The sequence below is a fragment of the Homo sapiens genome, chromosome X (assembly GCF_000001405.40).
Source record: "Homo sapiens chromosome X, GRCh38.p14 Primary Assembly".
Classification (NCBI taxonomy): Eukaryota; Metazoa; Chordata; class Mammalia; order Primates; family Hominidae; genus Homo; species Homo sapiens.
Genome location: NC_000023.11, coordinates 129,764,081 through 129,778,137, shown reverse-complemented (window position 1 = coordinate 129,778,137; position 14,057 = coordinate 129,764,081). Strand labels below are relative to the sequence as shown.

Sequence of the window (14,057 nt, the reverse complement as noted above, 5' to 3'; positions counted from 1 at the left end):
TCACCAAGCCCTTGCTGATGAACTTGGGTTGGCTTAAATTTTTAAATTATTCATTGAACATACTTATGGTAAATATTCACATCCATAGTTTTTTTTCTGTAGGGGAAATATCCAGAAGAGGAATTGCTGGGGTCAAAGGTATGCACATTTTTAAGGCTTTCAATTCTGTGGTACTTGTGAAATACTAGGCTTGTCCACCCCTGTTCCCAAGATGTTCTCGTGACTTCCTCTCCGATTCTGCTTTATGCCCTCTGACCATCCAACCTTCAGGGTGAGCTCAGGGAAGATAAGATCTTTCTTCCCTAAGCTGAAACCATACATTCTTTGGCCTACTCAGTCGGCCAGGCAGACTCATGAAAAGATTCCACACCCCAGATCTCCTTCCCACTGGCCTGTGTTTTCCACCCTGAAAGTCCCTCCCAGGCGGCCCAGGGTCACTAGCAAGCGCGGTAACTGGTTAAGGCTTTTCGGCATATACAGTAGCCTGGCAGCCGTGTAGGGGACCCATCGGGCCTTTGGGGCTCTGCGTGACCAGGAGCAGGAGGGCAGCCCCAGAGGGTTCTGGGATTGGGGACGCCGCTGTAGTGGCCTGGGGCACCTGGAGCCAGAGCCGTGAGGGAGGAAGCAGGTCGCAGAATCTTCCGGGCCTGCGCAGCGGCTGCGTCCCTGGCCGCCTCGCAGGATGTGCCCGCTTCCTGTTTGCTCAGCGCCGGCAGCGACAGAAGATCACACACTAACCGCAGAACCTTCAAAGGCGGCCAGCAAACCAGGGCACAGGGCTGGCGAGGCTTGGGAAAAGGCAGCGAGAGGGAGGTGAGGGTGCCTTGGAGAGAAATATGGAGAGGTGACCAGCTCCCAGGACAGAAGGGAGCAAGTGTTTTCAACGGCTTCCTTCGTTCTCCTTTTCAGATCTGTCTCCTCTGTTCAGGAACACCTCCTCCCCGCCACCTGGGGACCGGGGCCAGTGGAGGCGGGGTGTCCAGGACCCCCCATCGGGACTTGCCTTCCCCCAGCTTTTCTCTTCCAACAGATTGCCCTGGCTGAATCCCAATAGGCCAGGTCCTTGCTGGCTAATGACCCTTAAACATGTGTTTAATAGATTTTCCCTTCTGGGTAACATATTTGCATTTTACAGGTTATGTTGTTTGAGGTACGCAGAGCTCTCAGCTAAGGAAGTGATACGAGTCAGTAGTTCAGGGAACAAGGTCACCTTAAACTTGATAATGGGCCGGCAGGCAGAACCTAGGAACTTGCTGTGGGCACAGCCTTGTGCTAGGCCTCGGGAGGAGGTACAAAATAAATAGCCATCAGGGCCCCTTGTACCTGGGAGCTGACATCCTAGGTGGAGTGGCAAGCTTACATTTACCCAGCACTTGTTCTTTACCAAGCACTACATTAAGCACTTGACAGATGTTTAATCCCACCACAACCCCTGGAGGCGAGTAGTTTAATATAAAGACGTATCCAGAAGTATAGATTTGGGGCAGAAGAACCTTGATTTAGCGCCAATACTGCAGGATTGCAGGGTGTGTATGTGTGTGTGTGTGTGTGTGTGTTTTGGGGTTCCACTGATAGTGAAATCAACCTGAACCCTCAGAGGGTGGATGTAGGACTACCAAAGACACAAAGGTCATCGTAGGCCACATTCAGATAAAGCAGCTCCCACACCAGCACACTCCAAGTATTTTTTTAAATTTAATTTAATTTAATTTTTTTTTGAGTCTTACTCTGTTGCCTAGGCTGGAGTGCAGTGACGCGATCTCGGCTCACTGCAACCTTCACCTCCTGGGTTCAAGCTATTCTCCTGCCTCAGCCTCCTGGGTAGCTGGGACTACAGGCGCATGCCACCATGCCTGGCTTATTTTTTGTGTTTTTAGTAGAGACGGGGTTTCACCATGTTAGCCAGGATGGTCTTGATCTCCTGACCTCGTGATCTGCCCACCTTGGCCTCCCAAAGTGCTGGGATTACAGGTGTGAGCCACTGCACTCAGCCAAGAAATTCTTATTTAGTAGATGATCATGAGTGGGATATTTGGGGCAGGTAAGATCCAGACCATGTACAAAAGCATCTCTCACTCTCTGAATGGATATATTTCTAATTTGAGATAGTAAGAGTTTGGATAGTGAGAGATACTTATATCTGGAAAAACCTCCCAAAAGATTCTTTAAGTTTTAATTAATTAATTAATTAATTAATTAATTAATTTGAGACAGGGTCTCCCTCTGTTGCCCAGGCTGGAATGCAGTGGTGTGGTCACAGCTCGCTGCAGCTTCAAACTCCTGGGGCTCATGATCCTCCCACCTCAGCCTCCCGGGTAGTTGGGACTACAGGCACGTGCCACCATTCCTGGCTAATTTTTTTTTTTTTTTTTTGCCTATGTTGTCCAGGCTGATCTTGAACTCCTGGCCTCAAGTGATCCTCCTGCCTCTACCTCCCAAAGTGCTGCAATTACAGGTGTAAGCCACTGCACCCGGCCCCCAAAGATTCTTATTTCCATTCCCCCCAGTCCCCACATCTAGCTGAAAATTATTATACTTCATGGCAGGCAGTGGGCTTTACAACAACCTGGTAAGTCAGGCACTATTGTTATCCCCATTTTCCAGGGAGGAAGCTGAGGCCCAGAGGAGTTAAGTGAATTGCCCACACAGCTAGTAAGCAGTGGAGCCCAGCGTTAAATGCAGGTCTGGTCTTGGCCAGGGCCCACACAACTAACCACTCAGCTGAAGTGCCTCTGATGCGGAGTTCCTGAACGGGGAGGTGAGAGAATTATGGAGCCCTCGGCTTGCAGCCTTCTCTTGGCACCTGATGCTGGTTTGGGTGCCACACTAGGTGCCACAGAGCCACCTTGAAGCAGGCCCAGAGGGGAGTGAACAGGATGGGGAGGACATCTGGAAGTCGCATCACATCTGCAAAGCTGCAATAGCTAGGGTCGATTAAGCGGGGGTGAAGTATAGGGAAGTCGTCAACGTGTGAAGTACTAAACTCCTGTCACATTTAGCCTAGGTGATTGGGGTGGGGAAGCAAGTGGTATGAATGATGGGGAACAGATAAATGGAAGGTTTTAGTATATTCCAAGGAACAAATTTTGGCTATTCAGATGGCACTAGTTCAGCTCTGGTAAGTAATGATCTCCCCATCTCTTGAAATATTCAAGTAGGCCGGGCACGGTGGCTGACACCTGTAATCTCAGCACTTTGGGAAGCCCAGGTGAGTGGATCACCAGAGGTCAGGAGTTTGAGACCCGCCTGACTAACATGGTGAAACCCGTCTCTACTAAAAATACAAAAATTAGGCGGGCATGGTGGCACATGCCTGTAATCCCAGCTACTTGGGAGGCTGAGGCAGGAGAATCGCTTGAACCTGAGAGGTGGAGGTTGCTGTGAGCCAAGATCACGCCACTGCACTCCAGGCTGGGCAACAAGAGTGAAACTCTGTCTCAAACAAAACAAAACAAAACAAAACAAAACAACCAAAAAAAAAAAAAGAAAGAAAAAAAGAAAAGAAAAAGAAATATCCAAGCAGAGGCCACATAGTTTCTTGAAAATACCTGGACATTTCCAAGGTGAAGCCCACTTTAGTAGCCCGGCCCATTAGCAAATTTAATGGTGGTCATTTTAGGCAGGGAGGGCAGAAAGAGCAAAATTGCAGGAGGGAGAAGGCGGGCAGAGGAAAGCAAGGAGACAAGGGCAGGTGACTCTTGCGCCCATTCCTCATGCCCACATACAACACACACAGAGTGGGCATCTGGTGGCAGGGGCTGATGGGAGGGGAGGGAAAGACAGTGATCTTTGGAACTCTGAACTCGTGATAAGGTCTTGGTTTTAAAACAAAACAAAACAAAAAACACCTGCTGGTAGCTCTGTCAATTACCATCAGAAGAGGAGGCTGGACTTTGGTGCTCAGATTAAAACACACTCATGACTCACTGGTGGGGGGGTGCACTTTCTATGGGGGACAAGTAGGGGCTGGGCTACTCTGCATAAATCTCTGTCCCAAGGTTACAAGGACAAACCTCTCTGATCAGTGGGCCCCTCCCCCATGGGGACAATTGTCCAGGGCTCCAGGGAAGAGGAGGAACAGAACACCTCTCAGAAATGGAGTCAGGTTGTCCTGATTGGATTCAGATTGTTGTATGGTCACCTACTGGCTGCATAACCTTGGGCAAGTGACCTCACCTGCAATGAGCCTTAGTGAAGATGGTAACAGTGATAATGTGGGCCTTTCTTGTGGGTGTGTGTGACTAGGGTTACTACTCAGGTGACATGCATAGAGGGAGTGCTCTCAGCCCAGTGCCCCAGCTAGTGGAAAGTGCTGGGTACCTGGTGAGTGACTCCACATCAGTTCACTTCAGACTCCACCTGGAGTTTCTCCCCTTGCTAAATCCAGGAAGGCCTTGGTGACCGTTAGGAGCTGCCGCTTTCTCCCTTAGTGTCCCCTTGGAATCTTCTTCTTCTTCTTTTTTTTTTTTTTGAGACAGAGTCTCACTCTGTGGCCCAGGCTGGAGTGCAGTGGCAAGATCTCGGCTCACTGCAGCCTTCGCCTCCCAGATTCTCCTGTCTCAGCCTCCCGAGTAGCTGGGATTACAGGCGCCTGCCACCACACCCAGCTAATTTTTTGTATTTTTAGTAGAGACAGGGTTTCACCATGTTGCCGACCATGTTGCCAAACCAGGCTGGTCTCGAACCCCTGACCTCAGGTGATCCACCCACCTTGGCCTCCTAAAGAGCTGGGATTATAGGCGTGAGCCACCATGCCCGGCCTGGCACCTGCTTCTATGTCTCTTGAGGTCCGCATCTGAATCTCTGCTACGTGACCCTGTGGCCCATATCCTATGTCTCCACCTTGTCAAGAGTGCATCCCTCACCCCAAGTTGTTCTAGAACACAAGAGGTGTGACAAACAAGAGGGCCTGAAGCTGCCTGGGACCCGCTGGGAGAGAAACCAGCTTTTCAGCTTCGTGGACTTGCCACGGACCACTGGGGCTTTCTCAACCACCCATCCTACCCGACTTAAGCTGCTTGCTCAGTTCCTGTTTCACAAAGAAACAAGGAAGTGAAGAGATGGGCCGGCCTCTGGGCAAAGGCTAGCTGGCTTGGGGTTTGGGGAGCACCTCCCCCTCCTGGCTGTGACGAGCCATGAGGAGCAGGGACGGACAGGGAGGAAACGGTTGCTACTGAATCTTTCGCACTTCTATATATATATATTTTTTGGTGCCAAGAGTGCCCAACCACTGATTTGAGGAAGCACCCAGTGAGTTGGTAAAATTCACTGCTGACGTGGTTTAGCTGGCTGAAGAGTAGCCAGCCCAGCCCCTTCTGAGGTCCCAACTCACACACAGCTGGAACCAGCTGACTGGCAAACCAGCAAAGGCTGAGTTAGTTATCATTTTAAAAAATGAACTATTGTCTCACACCTGTAATCCCAGCACTTTGGGAGGCCAAGGCAGGAGGATTGCTTGAGGCCAGAAATTTGAGACCAGCCTAGGCAACATAGACATCATCTCTATAAAATAAAAATTAAAAAAAAAATTAATCGGGCATGGCGGTGCATGCCTGTAGTCCTAGCTAATCAGGAGGCTGAGGCGGGAGAAGCACTTGAGCCCAGGATTTCAAGGTTACGGTGAGCTATGATGGTGCCATTGCTCTCCAGCCTGGGTGACAGAGCAAGACCCTCTCTCTAAAAAAAAAAACAAAAAACAAAAGGAGCTATTTAGATGATTTGTGTATGTACCTATCTACCTATCATCTTACCTATGCCCTTTTCTATTCAGATTTGAAGCTTGAAGGAACGTGGCTCAACACCGCCGTCACCATTGTTGTCACAGCTGTGTGACCTTCAACAGGTCTCCTTGGGCCTCAGTGGGTCATTAGAGGCAGTAAGGGAGTGACAGAAGCACACACTGAAAGCGAGAGCGGAGCCATTGTGGAGCTGAGTCAGTATGCTGCGGATTTAGTCCTTGCTCTGGCCCCACTGGACTGTGTGACCTTGGACAAGTCCCTTCCTCTTCCTGGGTTGCTGTTGAAGTTTTCCCATCTGTACACTGAAAGGACTGCACCAGGTTTTGTGTGTGTGTGTGTGTGTGTGTGTGTGTGTGTGTGTGTGTGTGTGTGTTTGGTCATGGAGCTCCTATTCAGGATTGGCTCTTGAATTTTGCGGGCCTTGTGCAAAATGAAAATGCCCGGTGCCTCTTGCTTAAAAATTATCAAGAATTTTGAGACAGTGACAGGCGAGCATTAAACCAAGCATGGGGCCCTTGTAAGCACAAAGTCTTGAGGGACTGCACAGGTCCTACACCCGTGAAGCTGGCCCTGCAACTACTTCAAGTACAATTTTACGGGAAGCCCGTCAGGGCTACTTCGTGCAGCAGCTCTGTTTTCCTCGACAGCCCCTGTGGTGTTTCTGAGGCATCTCAGGCTCCCGGGAGCATAGTTGGAAAGACGTAAATTAGATGTTTGCTCTAGAGCCTTTCTAATTTTGGCTATTTATATATAAAACTTGGGTTCCAGACCTTTTTCTTACCTACCTGCAAAGGTGAAGCTGAATTGAACTTGTGCTGGGCAAATAACAGCAATATCATTTCTTGTCTGTGTGGCTTCCTGGTTTAGAGTGCTGCCACATCCGGGTCTCATGAGCCTCTCGCTGTAACCTCACCAAGAAGGCAGCATGGGAGATTCCAGAAAGGATAACTGAAGACCAGGGAGAAGTGACTTGCCCAAGGCCACACAGCTGGCACAAATGGGACTCAAACCCCAGAATCTTAACTCCTAGGAAAAGGGGCTTTTCCACATGGCCGGCTCCCCAGGCAATCAGCAGGCGAGGAGAGGTTTGCTAAGCCCCATCCTCCAACATTAAAACAAAGTACTAGAGCCCAAGGGGACAGTTCCTAACAATCTTTCATTCCTAACGATGTCACAAGAGTCCCTGTGTATCAGCCCTGGTGTATGTGCCCTGTTTCCCTGCCTGACCCAGAGTTAATCCCTTAAAGCAGGAATGGTCAAGTCTGGCCATCTGGGTCCCAGGGGAGGGAAGAGCTGGGGTGACTGTGAGCCCTCGTTCCAGCCACGTTCCAGGGCTGGGTTCTTCCTCCCAGAATGGTAGGCTGGAAGGGGCAGTTAAGGGGATTCAGAGATGAGGTGGAGTCCTGGGTCTCGCACTGAGGAAAAAAGCACGAGCTGCCTCGGTCCGAAAGGCCTGTGTGAGGGTGTTGGTCAGGTGCCTGGTCTTGCCACCCATGACCTGCCAGAACCCCAGGAGCAAGTGTCAGGGTGCAAAGGCAAAGGTCTGGCAGGGTCTGGGGAGGCACTATGGTGTGGATCTGCTTCTCCTGCTTGAGCCTCAGTTTTCTTGTCAGTAAAATGATGAAAGCCATACCACTTGCCCTTTATTTTTCTTTATTTTATTATTATTATTATTTTTTGAGATGGAGTCTCGCTCTGTTGCCCAGGCTGGAGTGCAGTGGCACGATCTCAGCTCACTGCAACCTCCGCCTCCTGGGTTCAAACGATTCTCCTGCATCAGCCTCCCGAGTAGCTGGGACTATAGGTGTGCGCCACCACACCCAGCTAATTTTTGTATTTTCAGTAGAGATGGGGTTTCACCATGTTGCCCAGGCTGCTCTTGAAATCCTGGCCTCATGTGATCCTCCCACCTCGGCCTCCCAAAGTGCTGTGATTACAGGGGTGAGCCACCACACCCGGCCAGGACTTGCCCTTTCTTGAGAGTGGATTCTAGAGTCCTCTGACTGGTTTAAATCTGGCTTTTTTTCATTTACCCAATGAAAAAAGTGACTTTGAGTCACTTGATAAATCTCTATGGGCCTCACTGAGTTCCTGCACTTGTAAAATGGGAATAAGAAAAGGGCCTTCTCAGAGGTTGTGAGGATTAAATGAGAAAATGCATGTAAAGCTTCTTGCACGGTGGCACATAAACACTCAGTAAATGGCAGCCATGATGATGATGATGGTGATGATGATGAGGGTGATGATGACTTTAATTTTATTAGTAGTACCTGTCTTTGTGGGGTGAGCAGGTGAGGGAGCAAATTATTTAGCAAACAGAGGCCCATCTTTGGATACTCAGTAAGGCTTGGTCAGGGCTGGAGCCTCTGGATGCAAGCACTGGTGATGGTAACCATCACAGGTCACCCTCACACTCAGCAGACTAGGCCTGATGGTTTCAGGCCAGGAGACTTCTCTGCCTGGTGCCTTTGCCTGGCACCCTGCACCTTGGTTCTTTCCTTCCACCAACTGTGCGCTGCTTGGCAAAGGTGCCAGCCCCAACTTTTCTGGATTACATTTGACAAGTTCCCCAGTGTAGGGCTCCTTTCTGTCCCTTCCACAAGGTTACAATACCTTTTTAGACAGGCTGGAGGTTGGCTGGTTGGGCGTGGTGTGCACGTGCATCTGTGCACATGCGCACACATATTCATATGCATGCTCACACACATACTCTCAAGCCCACGTGCTCCCCCACTGAGCTTCTAGGAGCCTCATGTCCCCACCCCCACCTCACCCTCTCTTCTTCCTCCCCCACCACAAAAGCCACAGGTGACAGCAGTCTCCGGCAACACAGCAGACACAATGCAAAACCCAGAGGCAAGTGTCTTTGTTAGGCTGTTTTAAACGTCTTAGCAGGATGTGGACCCAGGTGGCTAACGGCCAATTTGGCCGGAGCAAATTCTTCTCACCACAGTGGGTTCAGAGAATGAGGAGAGGGCTGGGAGGTGGGCTCAGGGACTCTGCATGTTGCTGAAGGGTGAAAGAGCTGGAATGCTGGCTCATCTGGCCCCATCAACTCCCAACCAAATTTGTGTGTCCTTAGGCAAAGCCCACCCCCTGTCTGAAGCTCAGTTTTCCTGTCTGTAAAATGGAGAAACCAGACACTGTCCACACAAGGTGAAGGGGCATCCAAGAATGTGGGAGGATTTAACAGCATTGTAGCTGTGGCTGCACTTTGGAAAGTTCAAAGGGCTCCTCGAATGCCAGGGAAGTCTAGAATAGTGACGGGTTCCGGCTGCCCAAGTTTGTTCTCCAACCTCTGGTAGGGTCATATTCCAGAGTGCCTCACCGCATTCCCTCTTACTCCACAGCCAAATTCCTATGGCTTAACTCCCTCTGCTGTTACTTGGCATGGAGCCTACCCAGGGTTTAGGAATGATGGGTTCACATGTGGGGGGTTGATGTTTCATGCCCTGGCTGGGTGGGAACAGCTCTGGCTATGCCCAACAGGTGGTGATAGGTTTGGGCTCTCCCGGGACCATGGCACCCTTGGGTGGTAGGGGCATTGCTCTCTTGGGGTTTTGTTTGGCGGGAGGGGAGCAGCTGTAGCAGTCTGTGCTAGGTTATAGGTTAGGCCTACTGAGATCACAGAAGAGAAGAGACTAGCTGGCTTTCCTATCTCGGGGCCTGGGATTAGGGGCCCAGGGTGTGGTATACAACCCCGGGGTGCAGGGAGGTGCCATCTGGGGCCAAGAAGCCCTGTGTTCCTGGGGCCTGGGACCTTCTCCATAGGTCTTGGAGAAGGAGGATGAATGCAAAGGTTTCTAGGCAATGGGCCAGCAGGGGCTCTTGGGGTATGTTCAGTGCAGGGTGAGGGGAGCTAAGCAAGGGAGCCCCCCATCTAGATGGAGGGTTAACAGGAGAGTCTGGAGCCTCTAGACACTCCAGCCAAGGATGGCAAGGGTGGAGACCACTAACACAGAGGCCCAGGAGGCGGTGTCTGGGGCCCTGGCGGCCAGGGGCTCTGTGTGCTGTTGAAGCCACTCGAACTCCTCTAGTAGCTGGCGCCTCTGCAGCTCTGGACCCACCTTCTCCCGGATGGTCTGGTAGTAGCGATTCAGGTACTGGAGCTGCGAAGGATAGAAGGGGTGACAGCCTCTCTAAGCCAAGCTGCCAAGAGGTGAAGTCTTGGTGACGCCCAGTCCCCTGTTGTGGTACTCCAGCTGTCACCATAGTCCAGATGGCCACAGGTCCCCCACCATCATCAGGCTTCAGGAATTCTCTGGGGCTTTTCAGAGGCAGTTCCCCTGGCTGGCTGTTTCATGTCATGGTGATGTTCATGGGCGGTGGGGTGGGTAGATTTCAGGCCCGGGAATGGGAGTAAGCTGGGCAGGCATTCTTATCCTCAGCTTACAAAAGAGGAGACTGAGGCAAAAGAATAGAAGGGATCACTTATAGTTCCAGGCCTTGTAGTGGCCGAGCTCAGAGGCCCAATCTCAGATTCCTCCAGTTATTCACTACCTGGGGTTGGGCAGGCTGGTCTGACTGGAAAGTTCTAGAAGCTCTGGGGTCTCTGATGAGCTGGGGAGGAATGCCCCAGTGTGTGTCTGCAGGTGCCACCAGTGTGGACCCTCCTGGAGGAGGGGCAGGGACAGAGGATGTGGTGGCAGGTAGCAGAGGCAGGAAAGGCCCAGGGTCAGGGAGAAGGCAATGCTGAGGGGCACTCACATGCTCGGGAGACAGCAGGCTGACATCGATGAGGTTCCGGTCATAGGGCACAAATGATACCACTTCAAAGGTCAGGTAGCTCCCTGGGTACTGGGAGCCCAGAATAGAAGCCGGGTAAGCAGGACAGTGAGGGAGGAGGAGGAACTGGGCTGAAGGGAAGGAAGGAGCACTCCACCCGGAGGACACAAGGAGCTGGGCCTCATCAACCCTGGACACCCTGGCTAGGCCTGAGCCTTCTAGAGTCCCTTCTCTTGGCCAGCCCCCTTGTCTGCCACTTAGTGCTCCACCTTTGGTGCTTCCCTCCTGATTCTGGAAATTTAGACTTAGGTTTGTGTTTTTCAAAGTACGCACATCAACAGCACTTAGGGAGCATGATAAATATGCAGATTCCAGGGCCCACCTCCCAAACCTACTGGAGGCAGAATCCTTAGGGCAGGGCCCAGAAATCTAAATTTCAATTATTTTATTTTATTTTTTTTGAGATAGGATCTCCCTCTGTTACCCAAGCTGGAGAGCAGTGACACGATGACGGCCCTCTGCAGCCTCTACCTCCTGGGCTCAGGTGATCCTTCTACCTCAGCCTTCCAAGTAGCTGGGATTATTGATGGGCACCACCACACCCAGATACTTTTTGTATTTTTTGTAGAGATGAGGTTTCACCATGTTGGCTAGGCTGGTCTCGAACTCCTAAGCTCAGGTGAACCACCCACCTCAGCTTCCCAAAGTGCTGGGATTACAGGCATGACCCACCACGCCTGGCTGATCTGATGGTTTTATAAGACAGTTTTCCCTGCTCTTGTTAGCTCTCTCTTTCCTGCCACCATGTCGAGATCCTTGCTTCCCCTTCGCCTTCTGCCATGATTATAAGTTTCCCAAGGCCTCCCCAGGCATGTGGGAACTGTGAGCCAATTAAACCTCTTTCCTTTAAAAATTACCCAGTCTTGGGTAGTATCTTTATAGCAATGTGAGAACAGACTAATACACCAGTCTCTACAAAAAAACACAAAAATTAGCTGAGCATGGTGGTGTCCATCTATAGTCCTAGTTATTTGGGAGTCTGAGGTGGAAGGGTGGGAGCATCACCTGAGCCCAGGAGGTTGAAGCTGCAGCGGGCTGTGATCGTGCCACTGCACTCCAGCCTCAGCAACAGAGTGAGACCCTGTCTCTAAAAAAAAAAAAAGAGGCCAGGTGCAATGGATGGCTTACGCCTGTAATCCCAGCACTTTGGGAGGCTGAGGTGGGTGGATCATTTGAGGTCAGGAGTTCAAGACCAGCATTACCAACATGGTGAAACCCCGTCTCTACTCTCTACTAAAAACACAAAAATTAGTTGGGCATGGTGGTGGGCGCCTGTAGTCCCAGCTACTCGGGAGGCTGAAACCACAAAAGATGTAGAGGAAAACCTATATCAATTCATTTATAATCTCAGGGTGGAAAAGAGTCTTTCTGTGCAAGACCAGAAGCTATGAAGGAAAAGATTAATAACTCTGACTAAACTAAACAGAAAATGGAAACAATGTTTATGGAAACAATGCCATAAACAAAGCCAAGAGTTGTGTGACAAATATAGCACATATCACAGAGAGAGGGTGAATTTTCATATTTACCATGAGCTTTTACAAATCCATAAGACAAAAATAGGCAAAACAGGAAAAAATAAGGCAAAGGACATGAAAAAGCAATTCACTAAAATTTAACACCAAATGGTTCACATACATGTGGAAAGATGCTCAAGTTCATCCTTAAAGAAATTCAAGGCTGGGTGTGGTGGCTCACGCCTGTAATCCAGAACTTTGGGAGGCCAAGGCAGGTGCATCACCTGAGGTCAGGAGTTCAAGACCAGCCTGGCCAACACGGTGAAACCCTGTTTCTACTAAAAATACAAAAATTAGCCAGTCGTGGTGGTGTGTGCCTGTAATTCCAGCTACTCAAGAGACTAAGGCAAGAGAATCACTTGAACCTGGGAGGCGGAGGTTGCAGTGAGCCAAGATCTCGCCACTGCACTCCAGCCTGGGAGAAAGAGGGAGACTCCATCAAAAAAAAAAAAAAAAAAAAAAGAAAGAAAGAAAGAAAAAAAGAAATACAAGTCAAAACAACAATAGAATACCATGTTTCACCTATCAGATTGGAAAAATTAGTGACTTCGATGATTCTCAGTGCTAGTGAGTATGTGAGGAAATGGGCACTCTCACACACTGTTGGAGAAAGTACAATTGGTGCAACCTTTCTGGAGGGCAGTTTGACAATATCTATCAAATTACCTATTAAAAATGCTTGTACTTTTTGTCTTGGAAATCCCTACGCCAGATATGTACCTTCTGGATATAGTCCCAAAAGCTCACCAAGATGTTTATACAGTGATTTGTAGCATTGATGGCAAATATAGTAAAAATTTGGAAACAGCCTCAATATCCACGGTTGGTTAAATAAATCATGGGACATCCACATACTATAGGCTCTTCGACAACCCTTCAAAAGAATGAGGTAGATCTCCCTGCGCTATTGCAGACCACTCTCCTAGGTTTACTATTAAGTAAGGGGCAGCGGGGCAGGGAAGGAAGGTGCAGAAAAGTATGTACAGTAGAATCCATTTTGTTTGTATTTTCAAAATATATACATAGATAGATACATACGCTGTGTGTGCCTGAAATGTTCTCAGGAAGGAAACTGAGCAAGAAAGAGACTTTTTTTTCCCTTCTCTTTTCTTTCTTTTCCTTCTTCTTTTTTTAGAGACAGATTCTCGCTCTGTCGCCCAGGCTGGAGTGCAGTGGTGTGATCTTGGCTCACCGCAACCTCCACCTCCCGGGTTCAAGCGATTCTCTTGCCTCAGCCTCCTGAGTAGCTGAGATTACAGGCACACACTACCACGCCTGGCTAATTTTTGTATTTTTAGTAGAAATGGGGCTTCACCATGTTGGCCAGGCTGGTCTTGAACTCCTGACCTCAAGTGATCCGCTGACTTCTGCCTCCCAAAGTGTTGGGATTACAGGTGTGAGCCACCATGCCTGGCCCTGATTTGTATTTTTTTTTTTTTTTTGAGACAGAGTTTTGCTCTTGTTGCCCAGGTTGGAGTACAATGGCATGATCTTGGCTCACCGCAACCTCCGCCTCCCAGGTTCAAGTGATTCTCCTGCCTCAGCCCCATGAGTAGCTGGGATTACAGGCATGCACCACCACACCCGGCTAATTTTGTATTTTTAGTAGATATGGGGTTTCTCCGTGTTGGTCAGGCTGGTCTCGAACTCCTGACCTCAGGTGATCCACCAGCCTCGGCCTTCCAAAGTGCTGGGATTACAGGCATAAGCCACCACGCCCGGTCTTGTATTTCTTTAAGGATGAACTTGAGCATCTTTCCACATGCATGTGGACCATTTGGTGTTAATTTTAGTGAATTGCCTTTTCATGTCCTTTGCCCTATTTTTTCCTGTTTTGTCTATTTTTGTCTTACGGATTTGTAAAAAGCTCATGGTAAAATAAGAAAACTCACCCTCTCACAATGCCATAAACAAAGCCAAGAGATATTTGTCACACATCTCTTGGCTTTGTTTATGGCATTGTTTCCATAAACATTGTTTCCATTTTCTATTTAGTCAGAGTTATTAATCTTTTCCT

General features: G+C 49.5%; 1 protein-coding gene across 1 annotated transcript in view, besides 4 other annotated features; it reads right to left on the bottom strand.

Annotated features, from left to right (window-relative positions):
* Positions 1,219–1,308: an enhancer, noted in NCBI's record as "active region_29924". NCBI's record gives its function as "activates an Ori minimal core promoter by ATAC-STARR-seq in GM12878 lymphoblastoid cells {active_cell/tissue: GM12878}" and the evidence as "EXISTENCE:reporter gene assay evidence [ECO:0000049][PMID:35858748]".
* Positions 2,648–2,697: an enhancer, noted in NCBI's record as "active region_29923". NCBI's record gives its function as "activates an Ori minimal core promoter by ATAC-STARR-seq in GM12878 lymphoblastoid cells {active_cell/tissue: GM12878}" and the evidence as "EXISTENCE:reporter gene assay evidence [ECO:0000049][PMID:35858748]".
* Positions 4,691–4,990: an enhancer, noted in NCBI's record as "active region_29922". NCBI's record gives its function as "activates an Ori minimal core promoter by ATAC-STARR-seq in GM12878 lymphoblastoid cells {active_cell/tissue: GM12878}" and the evidence as "EXISTENCE:reporter gene assay evidence [ECO:0000049][PMID:35858748]".
* XPNPEP2 (X-prolyl aminopeptidase 2) overlaps positions 8,602–14,057 on the bottom strand; it is a 30,558-nt gene continuing 25,102 nt past the window's right edge. Inside the window, exons 20-21 of the mRNA NM_003399.6 lie at positions 10,446–10,535; positions 8,602–9,847 (exon numbers count right to left, since the gene is read on the bottom strand). Coding sequence (NP_003390.4) covers positions 9,653–9,847; positions 10,446–10,535 — 285 coding nt within the window. The 3' untranslated portion in view covers positions 8,602–9,652. The remainder of the gene's footprint in view (positions 9,848–10,445; positions 10,536–14,057) is intronic.
* Positions 9,233–9,733: an enhancer, noted in NCBI's record as "H3K27ac hESC enhancer chrX:128902381-128902881 (GRCh37/hg19 assembly coordinates)". NCBI's record gives its function as "activates a minimal SCP1, AML or CMV promoter by ChIP-STARR-seq in primed H9 embryonic stem cells {active_cell/tissue: H9 hESC(primed)}" and the evidence as "EXISTENCE:reporter gene assay evidence [ECO:0000049][PMID:30033119]".